Here is a 16,301-nt window from a genome sequence, read left to right as displayed (position 1 = left end):
CACCTCCTGTTCTGCAAGATGCATTGCTCTCCAAGAAGCATTTGATGAGAGCCTTACCCATGATGCTAGGTGGCCACGGGAATGTATTATGAAAGGCCAGGTTATGGCAAAGATGAGAGTGTAGCTTTAAACAAATTCTATAAAATGTTATACTCTCTGTAGTCCACATCCTCAAGACTTAAATTAACAGCACAAATCTTATTAGCCTCACAAAGTTCCTTCATTGTTTCTCAAATAGCATAGTTCAGGGAGCATCTCACCAGTGTGGGTGGCCAATGCATTAAATCATAAGAGCAATTAATCTCTGTTCATAAAGTACTTGAGCTCCTGACACATCCTATAAATGTAGGCCTAAATAAACTCAGGAGTGTGCCCAAGGAGGTCAAGATCTCTGATGCTCAATGAGTTTCCAGAAAGGAGATAACAGCCAGGCTACCTTGGAAGGGAAGGAGAGCAACACACTGAATGCATAACCCCCCATGCCAGGTACTAGGCTAGGCACTCACATATTCGAGCTCATTTAATTTCTTCAACAATCCTGAGAAGAACTGCTATTCCCTTGCAGATCTGCCTGACCTCAGAGTCATGTTCTCTCTGCCTTGGACTGGATCCATAAATGTGACAAGAGGAAAACATAGAACATAGAGTCCTGGGACAAGTATACATGTCATATGCTTGTGTTAGAAAGTCTGAATTCTGACTATAGTTTTGCTATTAACTTGTGTGACCCTGCATGACCTTGCAAAAATCACACTGTCTCTCCTGAGACAACTTTTTGCTTTTCAAAGGCAGGAAAGCTCTGGATACTTGAAACAGTACTGTGGAGCCTGAGAGGTTTGAGATGACAGGGAACCTCCCTGTACTCACCTTCAGCAGCCCAACTCCTCGTGGCACAGAGATGGGGCATGAACACCCTGCAGAGGGGACTCCCAGCCTCTTCTCTTGCATACAGCAGGTGCAGCCCAGGTAACATGTCGCAACAAAATCCTTCCTGGGCCTCTCCCTTTGCTTCCACTTTTTCTCCCCTATCCTCCCCTAAGCCCTGAACCATGCCATCCTCCCATCCCCTCTTCTCTTGGGACAGGAAGATGCTGCTAAGTCTGATGCTGCAGAAAGCTGATGATTTCTTTTCTGCAGGGTGACTGGGGCCATGTGGAGCATTTGTGACCACAATAAAGAGATTGAAGATTAAAGGAGGATGATTAGGCAGAATTCCCATGGCAAAGTGGTGTGGTAATTTAGCCAAGTCATGGCTCAGGCATGCAGAAGGGTGTGAAGCCACTGTGGTGTAAGCATCAGGGGCAAGAGCAGCAGAAGAGAGAGCACTTGTCTGGGCTAGTCCCACTGTGTGAGAAGAATTGATGATGATGAAATTTTGTTCTTACTCCAACGTGGCTGCAGCTCTGCCATAAGCTCTTCCCAGAATCCTTTTGACTGTTAACAGTTCTATCTTCCTCACTAAGCATTCGTCAGGAAGATAAATGAATAAGTGAATCAATGAACTAGGCAACCAGTGGAGAAAACTCTTACTTGATTTCCAACCCCTCGATCATATCTTCTTGTTTCTTGACTACACCAAGATTTTGCTAGGTGGACATGACAAGTAGGTGTATTATGCAAGCATCAACTGCCCCCACTTATGGGACCAGGCAATAAACCACAGAGGACTGGGGACAGCACCCCTCCCCAGTCCCAGATAATCTCCACCAAAGCCCTTACACCATCCCCTAGTAGCCTCTACTACTCTCGCTGTGCTTTACTGGCAAAGACCTCAGAAGGATTACTTTCCTTACTCAATCCCTCATGAAAGCTCCCTGGCATTACCTGATTTTCTCTCCCTGCTCTCTCTGCCTGCTTTCTCATCCCTGCCAGATGCCTGGATCTGGCATCCTACTATGCCTGACAGCTAAGGGAATAAGACACAGGCATGAGCTTCTTGGGGACAGTGGGCCATCTGCTCCTCTGGGGAGTCTTTGAATTGACACCTACAAAGAATGGACTGGGCACTGACCTACCTGGGTCAGAAGCAGGGCAAGATGATCTTTAGAAGCCCTGATGAATCTGCTTCTGACCAATCACTGCTTTCAACTTGCCTGCTGCTCCCGGTACACATGACCACATTCAGCTTCCCTGCTGGTGACAGCTGGGGCTCTTGGGCTGTGCCTCAAGTCCCACCTCTCAGTTTGGCCTGGAAACTTTAGCATCCAGATATTTCTGGAGAAACTAAAGCAGTTCCTCTGTTATTTCTGCATGTAAACTCTTCAAGATACCAGCAGCCATCTCCCAAACCTCCTGAAATTATCACAGCCCACCACTGGTTCATCTACCAACACCATCTTCCTGCCCCATACTCTGTAAGGCTCTAGAATTTTCACACATTATTCTTTTTTATTTCCAAGAGCCAACAAGTTGCAAATAAGTTCTAAATCCCAAAAGAATACTGCTCAGGGGGCATGGACTTGTGGAGGTGAAACATCATCCAGTTCAGTCACCTACTGGGGTCCCAGCACTATGGCAGGGCTCATGGGAGAATCAGAAGGAGAAATCAAGGACTCTTCCCTCAGAGAATTCGTCATCTAATTCAGAGGCAAGAATTATACATAGGCAACAACAGAGAGTGCTAAAGAGCCACAAGAAATAAAAGCCTAGTTATATGTTTTAGAATCTCAGTCTACCACAGGCATTGGAGCTAGAGAGAGCCAGTCAGTCTCACATTTAAAGAACACCTACCTTGAGGACGACAAAGAGAGCTTATAGGAGACAGAGAGAGAAAGGAGGAGAAATCTTTCCTTCATAGTGAGGAAGAAAAATGTGGTCTGGAGGCAGGGAACATAAGGCCGATTCCCACTTCAGCTATGAGAGGAAATATTCTCTCCATAGTGCATACACCAAGTAAATGACTTTGTAACTTTACTTCATCCTCTTCATTTACATAGGGTGTACCCCAAGTAGAGGTTATTAAACTCCCAAAAAATCTGTAACAGGGCCCTTGAGCCCCTATGTTCAGGCCCGCTCCACACTATGGAGTGTTCTTTCATTTTCAATAAATCCCTTTGTTCCTTCCTTGCTTTGTTTGTGCATTTTGTCCAATTCTTTGTTCAAGATGACAAGAACCTGGACACCCTCCACTGTTAACAATAGAGCTCAAGTCCAGTGAGATGGACAGGCAGAGACCCAGCCATCTATAAGAATACAAAATAGAGCATTATAAACACCATGAAATGACTGCAGAGGATGCAGGAAGAAAGAGGAGAGTCTGACTAGGAAGACTCAGAAGTGTTTTCATAGAAAAGGTAAGTATTTAGATGTGTTTACATGGCTAGAATTTAGATAGAAGATAGGGAGAGTAGGATCCAGGAAGAAGAAGCCAAGTGAATAAAAACAGAAACAGGAAGTGGAGGGTTGACTTAGAGAACATCAAGAAGTCCAGTGTGGTTGGAAAGAAGAATACATCACTGAAAAAAATCTGCTTGCCATGGAAGGCCTTGAATAGCATGTTAAAGTTTTGGGGCTTGATTCTTATGGAAAATTATAACCCTTTATTCTTAAAGGACACGATAACCCTTCTTGAGAAGAGAGAATTCCTCTGAGAATAGTGTGGAAAATAAATTAGAAAGGAAGATTAGAGGCAGGAAGATCTATTGATACTTACACAAAAGTCCAAGCAAATAGTAACCAGGACCTCTCCTGAGAGATGGCAGGAATAAAGATGACGAGGGGAGAGAGAAATGAAACAAGTTTTTACAGAATCTCAGAGCACGAGAGACCTCTGGAGACAAAGACTTTCAGAGGCGGAAGTCATCCAGTTCATCCAGCTGTGACTTCAAACCTCTTCCTCATTTTATAGATAAGGGGGGAAATAAAGTCACAATGTGGAAGTGTCTTTCCCAAGTTCACTTGAAAGTGAATTCAGGGCCCTGGAGAGAAGCCAGGGCTTCCAAGTCTCAATTCAAGGGATCTCTGGTGCACCAGGGTGAGGAAAGGCCAGGAAGGGCTACAAAGAAAATCAGCAGGAGACCTGACTGTTCTTGAAAGGGGAACAGGCAAATGCCTGAACATTGGCTTCCACATACCATCATCCCTAAATTCACCTCTTCCCTTCCTGATGGAATTGACCAGGGGAGGGGTGGCAGTGAGAGAACTGAAAACACTGATGGCACCCCAAAGGAATTGCTAAGAATCCCTAAAATACAATGGGAACATCACAGATTACAAAGCTATTTACCTATCTTCCCTACCCCATTTCCTCCACTCCCACTTTACCTCAAGACATATGCATTCCTTTAGTCAACAAACCTTTATCAGGTGCCTACTACTGTGGGTTTTCTGGCAGCTGCTGGATCATAAGGTTGTGCAAGACCTTTGGGAGATTCAGAGCCACAGTTCAACTCCACAGCCCTTGCCTCTGCCCAGCTGTGTCTTGGCCAGGCAGGTTTAGCCTGTTGGTATCCTCAAGTCAAGGCTTTTAAACCAACCACCCTGCTCCAGAAATTTCTTTTAAAAAAACTCAAAACAGTTTGGCAGTTCCTCAAAAAGTTAAACACGGAGTTACCATGTGACCCAACTCCACCCCTAGGTGCATGGCCTAGTTGCAGAGGACTAAAAACATACATCCGCACAAAAAGTTGTCCATGAATGTTCACAGCAGCATTATTCAAATAGCCAAAAGGAGGAAACAGCCCAAATGGCCACCAATGGATGAATGGATAAGCAAAATGTGACACATTGTCTATTCTTATAATGGACTATTATTCAGACTTAAAGGAAAAGAAGTGCTAAAACCTGCTTCAACATATATGAACCTTAAAAATATTATGTTATGTGAAATAAGCTAGTCCAAAAAAAGGCCACATATTATATGATTTCATTTGCATGAAATATCCAGAATAGGTAAATCCATAGAGACAGAAAACAGATTAGTGGCTGCCAGGGGCTGGAAGAGGGCAGAATGGCAGATTACTGCTAATGGGGACAGAATTTCTTACAGGGGGATCTTGGCAATGGCTGAACAATACTAGATAACATTGAATCGTACACTTTAAATGGGTGAATTGCATGGTATGTGAATTATATCTCAATAAAGCTCTTTAACAAAAAGTAAAAGAAGAAACTCAGAAACCTGACCTGAATGATCCAAATTCTGCCATGGTCAGCCACTTTGAAGATCTCAGATTTGGTCTGTAGCCTTATTAACCATGTGCTAGGAATTACCTAAAATTCCATGGGCTGTGTTAGCAGTGATTTCTGACATTTTCTAGTTCCTTTTATCGTGGGGAAGATAGGGCCTGTGATGTTGGGGAGAGGAGCAATGCTGGCTCTTGTATCCAAAAACAAAAGCCTACAGTAGAAGAAAAGGCTGGGCTGCAAGCTGGGGAGGGGGAGCACAGCTCCACGCTGAAACCTGTGCACTCAATCCCCAGGAAACCTAGGCTTCCTTCCTTCAGCTCAGAACACATTTTCTGACGGAGTAAAAATATCGCTGATATCAGCGTCACCTTCAGAAACCACTGACTCCCACAGATGTTATTAAAAGCGAAATGGCCTATAATTAACAGGGCAGTAATTCACCTACAAGAAAAGATTTTTAAATGGGAACTTATTTGTGCAGTTGATAATAAATTACCTTTCAATATCAAGAGATCTCAAAGAGTTTTATGTCTATTAATTAGTTGTGCTCCTCTCCAGGGGAAGGTGTTCATTTGCCCCATCTGCAGTTTATCCACCTGCTTAATGCCAAAGGGCTAATCAAGAAAAAAGTGCCTGCCCCAGCGTTACACAGGGGTCTTCCCTTATAATAAAATAGCCATCCTCTGGATCCTGTAGGATTCATCTCAATAGAAACCCAACATCTCAAAAGAAGGAAAAAGGAAGTCTGAGAGTTTCATGATAATTATCCTTAATGATTTGGCCAAAATATGACAAGGAGACTCCCTGAAAACTCTATTAGCTCAAAACAGTACCTGTCACACCCACTAGGCACATCTGCATCCTAAGAGAAATGGACAGCAAAGGCTTACAGTAGGATCAAGAACTGCAGGGAATGTGCAACAAGTGGAACTTCTTCAGTCTCATGTCAAACCAGTGCCCAGAGCTGTCAATTGTAAAGAGAGAAGGGTATTTTTTTTCTCCGTGGGTTTTGTTTCTGTAAATAGAAGCATCTGTCTTATCTCCCCAAATAGATTACAAAGTCCTTTAGTGTTGAAATCATCTAAGTTCTGGAGAAGCATAAGAAAATAATAAATATTTGACTGGTTAAGGGTCAGGAGATTCTCATTTCAAGGTCAGATTCCTTCACAGTATGTCATAAGGAAGTTACCCTGGTCTTACTCACTTCAGTCTATGTGGAAAGTTATTTCTCTCATTGGGGAGGGAGTAATCACCAGTCCTGTTCCAAAAGAGGCAACATAACATAGGGATTGCAAACAAGGGCTTTGGAATCAGGAAGACATGGGTTCAAGCCTCAGCTCAGCCAGTTGCAAGTTGTGTGACCTTGAGCAAGTTATTTATCCTTTTCTGAGCCCCAGTATCTTTGTTTGAAAAATGAAGACAATATTCTCTGCCTCATGGAGTTTTTGTGGGAATTAAACAAGATAATAAGTTTATAGATTTGGAATATTAGACCTTTGTCAGGTGCATAAGATGCAGCTGGAGGCCATTATCCTAGCAAATCAGTACAGGAGCAGAAAACCAAATACCACATATTCTCACATATAAGTGGGAGCTAAACATTGGGTACTCTGGAACATAATGATGACAACAATAGACACTGGGGACTACTAGAAGGGGGAAGAAGGGGAGAAACGATTGAAAAACTATTGGGTGCTATGCTCACTATCTGGGCAATGGGATTATTCATATCCCAAAGCTCAATGACAAGCAGTATACCCATGTAATAAACCTTCACATATACCCATGGAATATGAAATAAAAATTGAAATTATTTTTAAGGAGATAATATATATAAAATGCTTAATGCAGAGCCTAGCACACAATAAGATTTCAATAAATTGTAGCTTAAAAACATCTTGCCTTTGAGACCAAAGGTCACACTACAACATGACTGCATTTAAGCTGCAAAACACACTGAAAAATAATTTTTTAAAATAGTGTAGGTCCTCATGAAATTTATAAATGTTAATGAAGAAACAGGATACCCATAATTGACTTCTCCATTTTCCACAGAGAAAGACTGAGAAGCACAAATTCTGAGGCCTTTATCGAATATCTGAATAGAGCAATGTTTAAATATTACCTCTAAAGCCACTGTTAACCTTAAGATTGGCATGACAGAATCTCAGAATGCCAACACCAAAATAAAGCTCCAACCCTCTCCTTTTACAGATAAAGAAACAAAGGTCACATTTCATGATTCCTTCAAAGGTGTTTTATTTCAATCCCAGTGGCATTGAAAGTTCTTTAAGGACAAAGACTACATTTTATCTCAGTGCCCACAAAAGGGCGCCCTCTGTATGGTCACAAATACTAATTGATTAACTGATTGGCTGATCAACATAGTTCTCTGCCTATTCTATCGGAGTGTATTAAGTGTTAAATGAATGCACACATAGCGGATCCTACTCTTAAGAACATAATCTTTCTCTCACTGCAACATCAAACAAACAGAACTGCCTGTCTAACCAAAAGAAACAGTTGCTAGAGAGCCATGGAACACGCCAAGAGAAAGGGGACACAGCATTGTTGTTCTGTTTCCTGATGGCTATTGTCTTCAACCCCTGCCCATCCCACCCCTACTCCTCTTATTTGCCTCTGGGGACAACCAAATCTTCTCTAGGTCTTTTATTCTAACAGGTGAGAAGAGACATAACTGAAGAGCACTAAGTAGAGATGCAAAAGTATAAGGAGAACCTTAATGTGACCCAGCCCTCAGAATTTATGAATAGACTTAAGAAAGTCCTGACTTGTGCTGGGAGACCCCAAACAGCCAAGGATGCAAGCTGGAGGGATGATAACAAGACTACAAAAGGCAGAGACCCTGGGAAATGCCAATAGAAGCACTAGATCTTAGACCCAGCAGTCCCCCTTCAGAAGTTACATTTCTTCAGTGTACCATAGTTCTACTAGTTATCTAGACTTAAAGACTTGGAATCTCACCTAATGTTCCCACTTTCCCTGCCCCTCTTCTAATCTGTCCCCAGACCTCATCCCTTTATCCCTGCTATTATCCATCTACCTTCCTATAGTTTTGAACTACTGCGTCCAGGTCGAAGTCCTTGTCACTTCTCACCCATGCCATATAATAGACTCCTAACTGGTCTCACTGCCCAGTACTCCTCTGTCCAATTTATCTTGTACACCACAGTTTAGGGTGACCAACTCGGTCCAGATTGCCCAGAATTATCCCACTGAAAGTCTCATGTCCTGGGAAACTCCTTAGTGCCAGACAAACTGAGACATCTGACCAACTACAACAGAGCCATTAGATTCTTCCTCTAAATAATGCTTTGATTATGTCACTTTTCCTAGCCAAAACCCTACTTCTGCTTTCTCATTAAAATAAACCCTAAAGTAGGCCCCAAATCTGCCTCAGAGAATGTCTCAGAAAGCATATCGGTCTGGAGTGAGGAAACAAGTAAACCAGGCCTGGCTTTAGTCATAGCCCGTGAAACCCTTGGCAAATACAGTCAATCTAGCTGAACCTCAGTTTCCTCATCTGTAAAATTAAGAGGCTAGATTTCCCTTTCAGTTCCAAAATTTTCTAAGTCTACTCTTTTAAATCCCTCTGCTCTTTTAAATCCCTCTGCTCAACACAGACTTACCAGCTCACTCGAATCCAAACTCTCACCTTAGTACCTTTGATTCTTCCCTTCTCCCCACTCAGAAGTTCTTTGCTTTCTTCTCTGCCCACCTGAATCCTTTCAGGAACAACATGAAGCTCACCTCCTAAGGGACGTCCAGGCCCAGCCATGAGGACTCCACATGCGCCTAGGTTTCTAATACTCAGCACTTAGCATGTCCTATCCCTGGAGTTCAAAATATTTTTCTATGTGAAGCTTCTTTATTCCAACTAAACTAAAATCTTTCTGCACTGTTGTGATTCCCTTGTAGAATCCTGAACACATAGTAAGTAATAGTTAGTGTTATTAATAATAATGGATTGGCTGATGGATACATAGGAAAAAGTCCAAACAGGGATCTAGATGTGAGACAAACGTAGAAATACAGGTGAGTCTACAGCTTTTTGCACCTTACATACAATTCTTCAGTGCTTCCATAATCCAATAATTCCTTTACCCCAAAAATATTCACTAAGAATTTCCCATGCTCAAGACACTGTGCTGGCATCCAAGGGCACGGAGATGGGAAGTGAACAGAAGCTGGGGTCTCTAGCAGCATTTCTCTCTCACAGATATCATAAACTTCCATGATGTCCCTCAATTCAAACTTTTTAGTAGTAAGTCTTAGAAGGCTTAAGTGGTAGAAGTTGCACCATTGGAGCCCCTCATCCCCAAAACTGACCATGTATCTACTTCTCCCAACTAGCCTGTGGAGCTGTTAAATGAAAAAATAATAGTAATTCAAAATAAGTTAATAGGTTAATAGCCAAATATCTACCAGCACAAGAAAAAGGTTAGTCTAAAAGAAACCTCTTCCAGGAACTATATTCTGGCCAAATAAATAGAATCTCTAGTTCCAACTTTGACATATGTTTGTAAGTGACCACATAGATAGCATTCTTCAGTATGAGCTGACTGTTGCCCTCTATTAGTATTGGCAAGTGACATATATTAAGGATGAACTCAGCCAACACCTCTGTCTTTTGGGACCCTCACAGCACAAATACATACACATACACACACATTCTCTTAATTAAATGGGACTGGGACTTAAACAGCGTCACCTACTGTAGTGACAAACAGGTTCATGAGCAAGTGGGGGAAGTAAATAAACCAAACAGTTTGCAGAGGGAGAGGTCAAGCTGGGCTGAGCTGGGCTGGGACCAGAGTGATTCAGGCTTTGCCACAGAATGGGTGTCTCCTGGGATGGCCTGGTAGGATAATTAAAACCCCTATAAATAGGATGAGTTTTTAGGTCCCCAGTATCCTCTCTGACTCCTGAATCTTCTGCTCCTTCCTCCTCAAGCAGGTAAGACATGCATAGGGGAGCATTGGTAGTATCTACAAGGCTCTCAAGAGCCCTATAATGCACCAGGCTGGGGAGGTCTGAGACTTAATTCCTGTGGGTAACAGCTTTGGTTACCTTCTGCTTCCTTTTTCTGGCTCTATCTGAGAATATGACAATAGCTGGGGTGGACTACTTCTGTGTCTGTAAAATGCAAATGCCTTCACTTCAATGTGTCCTAGGCATCCCAAAACTGAGGGCTAGAACAATTGATGAATAGCTTAGTCTCCCATAGTGGAGCATTTACTTTTTGTGCAAGTTAGGAAAGACCGAATAGTTTAGGGCCAAGGCTCTGGACCATGGGCCCAGCAATGCTCAAGTCTCATTGCATTGAATTACAACAAGGGACTCAGCTTGTCCCATGTGATCCATTATTTGTCACTTATTTTCTTATAGACATCACTGTTTGTATGCTTTTGGCAATTCAACATGCTCTGCAGATAGGGCTTCAGTTTGGAGGCCTATAAACCCACTAACTGGAATTTTCATTCCACAAGAAAAAAAATGTAATTGAGATTTAGATCCCAAAAGACCCAAGTCTCCCAGCATGGCCAATGTGGACCTAACTGATTATATATACCTCCTATAATCTGTGCCCTTAATTTGGCTATGTACCCACTTGCTATTTTTATCTGTAACAGCTTTTATATTCATTGATTTCATTTTATAAGCATGTCCCAAAACCATCCAGGCCAGAAGCATTTGCTGGAATTTAGCCTCCCAGAAAGCTTCCTTAGACCGTGAAGAGAGACTTTCAGCCTTCTTCCTTGCTTAAGAAAGGCTCATTACAAGACTGAAACCTGTTCAGTGGGATCTATTTAGTGCCCCCTCCAGTTTGCTAGTTGTTAGTCGAAAATTATGCCCTACTATGCTGGCTTCTATTCCTGCCTCTATTGGGCTTCCTGGCCTCCCCTCCTTTTGTTCTAATATGAGATTTTCAATCAGGTGAATCCTGTCTGGAGTAGAGGATGGGATATGTAAAACACCTGCAATGCATTTTTTGTTTTTTAAGAAATTGTCTCTTTTTATAGCAAGGGAACCAAGTTTGCACCATCTCCCACTATAGCAATGAGATTTGGTCCCCGACTGTGAGTCAGGGCAAGGAAGGGGTACAGCTAAGAAGGGGCTCTCTCACTTCTTAAACTTTCTCCCAGATCCAGAGGGGTCACTTTCCCTCTGGAAATGCTGTCTCGTGGTCATTATCCTAACGGCAGGAGAAATCTTGTTTCTTCTTTTAGGTTCACCCGTACTTGTCAAAATGGCTCAACTCCTGAATAGCATACTCAGTGTGATTGACGTATTCCACAAATATGCCAAAGGGAATGGGGACTGTGCCTTACTATGCAAGGAAGAGTTGAAACAACTGCTCTTGGCTGAGTTTGGAGACATCCTCCAGGTAAGATACACAGACACACAGCCCCATGAGATCAAGTGTGAATGACTCTGACACCTGCACCAGGGTTGGATGCTTTGTTTTATTTGGGCTTGCTCTGCCCTGTAAGAAAAGGAATTTCAGGCAGCTCCTTAGTAGTTCTCTCCCAGCATACACACACACACACACACACACACACACACACACACACACACACCTCCTTGTATCTGAATTTGAACAGGAGAGAGTATAACTTCAAGGTAACAGGGAATAATTTCTCAGAAGAAAACCTAAGATTCATACTTTGATTTCTATATTTAGTGCTATCCACACATCTTTTAATGTATTCATTTAGTGCTATCCACACATCTTTTCATGTATTCATTCATTCAACCAATAAAGAGTCACTGAGCACCTGCTCTATGCCCCTAGGCACAAGGGATACAAACATGAATAAAATCAGCTCCCCCTCCCTCTAGGATCTCACAGTGCAGTGAAAAACAAAAGGGGCTAAACAACTAGGATATAGCCTGTGATGGAATGGGATAACTTTGAAATGAATCAAATTAATTACTAATGGAGATGATTTTAAATAAATGTATCTACTCCCTATGGTCATGCTCCCATTGATCCAGCAAGGTTCTGAGAACCAGCTGATCAAAGACTAGCGCCAAGTCCACACCACTTCAGATTAATGGTTTTTCAACCTAGGAAGGTCCGTGCAGCACCGAATGGATTGGGGCATGAACACTGATACACATCTTAGTATGCACAAGACAGCATCTGATTTTGCTCTTTGTTTTATCTCCTAACAGAGACCAAATGACCCAGAGACTGTGGAAACCATCTTGAACCTCTTAGATCAAGACCGAGATGGACATATTGATTTTCATGAGTACCTCTTGTTGGTGTTCCAGTTGGTCCAAGCCTGCTATCATAAGCTAGACAATAAGTCACATGGAGGCAGGACCTCACAGCAAGAAAGGGGGCAGGAAGGAGCACAAGACTGTAAGTTCCCAGGAAACACAGGCAGACAACACAGACAGAGGCACGAGGAAGAAAGGCAGAACTCCCACCACAGTCAGCCTGAGAGACAAGACGGAGATTCCCACCATGGTCAGCCTGAGAGACAAGACAGAGATTCCCACCATGGTCAGTCTGAGAAACAAGACAGAGATTCCCACCACAGTCAGCCTGAGAGACAAGACAGAGATTCTCACCACAATCAGTCTGAGAGACAAGACAAGGATTTCAGCTTTGATCAGTCAGAGAGACAAAGTCAAGACTCCAGCTCTGGTAAAAAAGTGAGTCACAAATCTACCAGTGGCCAGGCTAAATGGCAGGGACATATCTTTGCCTTAAATCGGTGTGAAAAACCAATTCAGGATTCTCATTATGGTCAGTCTGAAAGACATACACAACAATCTGAAACACTTGGACAAGCCTCTCACTTTAACCAGACAAATCAACAGAAATCAGGCTCTTATTGTGGACAGTCTGAGAGGCTAGGTCAGGAATTAGGCTGTGGTCAGACAGACAGACAAGGCCAGAGTTCCCACTACGGTCAGACGGACAGACAAGACCAGAGTTATCATTATGGTCAGACAGACAGACAAGGCCAGAGTTCCCACTACAGTCAGACGGACAGACAAGGCCAGAGTTCCCACTACAGTCAGCCAGACAGACAAGGTCAGAGTTCCCACTATGGTCAAATGGACAGAAAAGGCCAGTGTTATCATTATGATCAGACAAACAGACAAGGCCAGGGTTCCCACTACAGTCAACCAAACAGACAAGGTCAGAGTTCCCACTATGGTCAGCCAGACACACAAGATCAGAGTTCTCACTATGGTCAGACAGACAGACAAGACCAAAGTTCTCACTATGGTCAGACAGAGAGACAAGGCCAGAGTTCCCACTACAGTCAGATGGACCGACAAGGCCAGGGTTCTCACTACGGTCAGACAGACAGACAAGGCCAGAGTTCCCACTATGGTCAGCCAGACAGACAAGGCCAGAATTCCCACTATGGTCAGACAGACAGACAAGGCCAGAGTTCCCACTATGGTCAGACAGACAGACAAGGCCAGAGTTCCCACTACAGTCAGCCAGACAAACAAGGCCAGAGTTCCCACTATGGTAAGATAGACAGACAAGACCAGAGTTATCATTATGGTCAGCCAGACGGACAAGGCCAAAGTTCCCACTATGGTCAGACAGACAGACAAGGCCAGAGTTTCCACTATGGTCAGCCAGACAGACAAGGCCAGAGTTCCCACTACAGTCAGATGGACAGACAAGGCCAGAGTTCCCACTATGGTCAGACAGACAGACAAGGCCAGAGTTCCCACTACGGTCAGACAGACAGACAAGGCCAGAGCTATCATTATGGTCAGACAGACAGACAAGGCCAGAGTTCCCACTATATTCAATCACAGACTGGGGAAATACAAGGGCAAAATAAGTACTTCCAAGGGACTGAAGGAACAAGAAAAGCCTCTTATGTTGAACAATCAGGAAGATCAGGGAGGCTAAGTCAACAGACTCCAGGACAGGAAGGGTACCAAAACCAGGGACAGGGATTCCAGTCTAGGGACTCACAGCAGAACGGCCACCAGGTATGGGAGCCTGAAGAGGATAGCCAACATCACCAACACAAACTCTTAGCACAAATCCAACAAGAAAGACCACTTTGTCACAAAGGGAGAGACTGGCAATCATGCAGTAGTGAGCAGGGCCACAGACAGGCCCAGACCAGGCAGAGTCATGGTGAGGGGCTGAGCCACTGGGCAGAGGAAGAGCAGGGCCATCAAACTTGGGATAGACACAGCCATGAGAGTCAGGAAGGTCCATGTGGGACACAGGACAGGCGAACCCATAAAGATGAGCAGAACCATCAGAGACGAGACAGACAAACCCATGAACATGAGCAGAGCCATCAGAGACGAGACAGGCAAACCCATGAAGACAAGCAGAACCGTCAGAGACGAGACAGGCAAACCCATGAAGACGAGCAGAACCATCAGAGATGAGACAGGCAAACTCATGAAGAGGATCAAAACCATCAGCAACAACATAATAGACAAAACTATGAGGAGAAAGAGAGGTATCAAGGATCTCAGAATCAAAAATCCCAAGTGACCCACAGAAGCTGTCCTAACAGAGAAAAATTCCACATGAAAGAGGATGACCAGAGCCAAGGCTCACAGAAAAGACACACTGAACCATCCTTCTATCCAACCCAGAGCAGTGGGAGGCCCCAAACCAGAGAACAGCGTGGTCACCCTGCCAAGGGAGCTACTGTTCCCAACCCCCCCTATGACTATGTGCAAGAGCAGAAATCCTACCCATACTAGGCTATGTGAGCACCAGAGGTAAAGCAACACAAAGCCAAAAAAGAAACCTATATGTCGAGTTCACCTTTAATTCGATTTAAGAGATTGAGAATGTATTTCTTCCCTCTATCCTCTGCTGTATCTCCCTGCAAGGATGTTTTTGAGTACTAGCATTCACGTAAGGGCTTTTGGTTCTTTGAGCAGCAATTCTAGGGTTTTCTGATTCAGTGAAATCTAGGTGGTAAATTGGGTGAAATAATCATATCTTAATGTTGATCAGTTTGGGTATTTAAATCATTTCCTGCTTTGCCCTCTGTGTAGATGAGACCTGGTTGAATCATTGAAAGGTAGAACACTTCTCCCTAAAGTTCAGAAACAGAAAAGATATTCTGAAGATTTACATTACATCCAAGGATTATACTACATCTCCACTCCTCAAGGAACCCTAGATTTGGTGAGCTTTGGCTCCTGTGGATAAAACATCAGGAATTTCAAGCCTCATAGTCTAGACTAGAATGAAACTCAGTTCAAGGCTGCTACAAGAGCCGAGAACATAGAGTGCATCTCTGATGTTTACTACATCTCCCATGCCAGGCTCTTATTCCACACCAGAGGGACTGTCCATTAGTGCCTATCACTAGAGCTGAATGGACCCATTCCAATTCAATACCTTTCTAGTTTCTGATTATATAAAATAAAGAGAAAGTATATGTCATATGTTTGCAAATTCCAGGGGATCAAGACTATTGATTCATAGCTCCTAAGACCTGAAAACTCTTCTCAAGAAAATCTATGTGCAGATTATGAATTGTATTAAAATATCTAATAAATAATTGATGAGCAATAACTGTCATGACTCCTTTCTTCACTGTGGGGTTGTACTATTTTCACTTTTGAGCCATTTTCCAAAAATAACACCTTATTTCTTGACTTCTAAAATGTCTTTGTTCCCTGAGTTCCTGGGCACTGAAAAAAAATAAGAATCAATACAAAACAAATAATAAAGAGTCTAAATGAAACTTATCTAAATATAATTTTCAGCTCCTCCTCCCTCTACTGAGTCATATTTTACCTTTACCACTCCCTCACCACCACATTCAAATTGTCATTGAGTCTTCCCAACTCTACATCCCCATAACTTTTGAATCTCTTCTCACGTCTCCATCTCCACTGCCTTAATGGCCCTTCTCCTCAGTGGCTCCCCAGTGACTTGAGAAAAAAATTTACATCCCTCAGTGTGGCACATAGGCCTCACTATCTGATCAGATGACCTACCCAGCCTACTCACATGACAGGCCCCTCCCAGGAGCATCCAATGCTCCAGCCACACCAAGGACTTGGCCTTTTCTTGGTACACTTGATCTTTCATGAATTCATATCTTTGAATATGCCATCCCATCAGCATGGAATACCTCCCCGCTGTTTTCTGCCTGACAAAAACCTAGGCATCCTCT

At 43.2% G+C, this 16,301-nt stretch overlaps 1 protein-coding gene across 1 annotated transcript, besides 1 other annotated feature; it reads left to right on the top strand.

Moving 5' to 3' along the window:
- Positions 533 to 1,732: an enhancer, noted in NCBI's record as "P300/CBP strongly-dependent group 1 enhancer chr1:152140032-152141231 (GRCh37/hg19 assembly coordinates)". NCBI's record gives its function as "activates an origin of replication core promoter dependent on BRD2, BRD4, P300/CBP, MED14 and CDK7 cofactors, with strong dependence on P300/CBP, by STARR-seq in HCT116 cells {active_cell/tissue: HCT116}" and the evidence as "EXISTENCE:reporter gene assay evidence [ECO:0000049][PMID:35650434]".
- RPTN (repetin) lies at positions 10,060 to 15,693 on the top strand. Its single transcript, NM_001122965.1, has 3 exons — positions 10,060 to 10,104; positions 11,379 to 11,536; positions 12,328 to 15,693. The coding sequence occupies exons 2-3, from the start codon at positions 11,399 to 11,401 to the stop codon at positions 14,542 to 14,544; spliced, it is 2,355 nt and encodes a 784-aa protein (NP_001116437.1). The 5' UTR covers positions 10,060 to 10,104; positions 11,379 to 11,398; the 3' UTR covers positions 14,545 to 15,693.
- Positions 15,694 to 16,301: the final 608 nt, after the last annotated feature.

This window comes from Homo sapiens, chromosome 1 (genome assembly GCF_000001405.40).
Source record: "Homo sapiens chromosome 1, GRCh38.p14 Primary Assembly".
Taxonomy (NCBI): Eukaryota; Metazoa; Chordata; class Mammalia; order Primates; family Hominidae; genus Homo; species Homo sapiens.
The sequence above is the reverse complement of the archived record's forward strand: the minus strand, read 5'-3'. Positions and strand labels throughout refer to the sequence as shown.

Bases quoted from the DNA above. Each gene is read 5' to 3' on its own strand.
- RPTN (NM_001122965.1), top strand. From the start codon at position 11,399: ATGGCTCAACTCCTGAATAGCATACTCAGTGTGATTGACGTATTCCAC. The intron at 11,537-12,327 runs GTAAGATACACA...ATCTCCTAACAG, and splicing joins AGTTTGGAGACATCCTCCAG to AGACCAAATGACCCAGAGAC.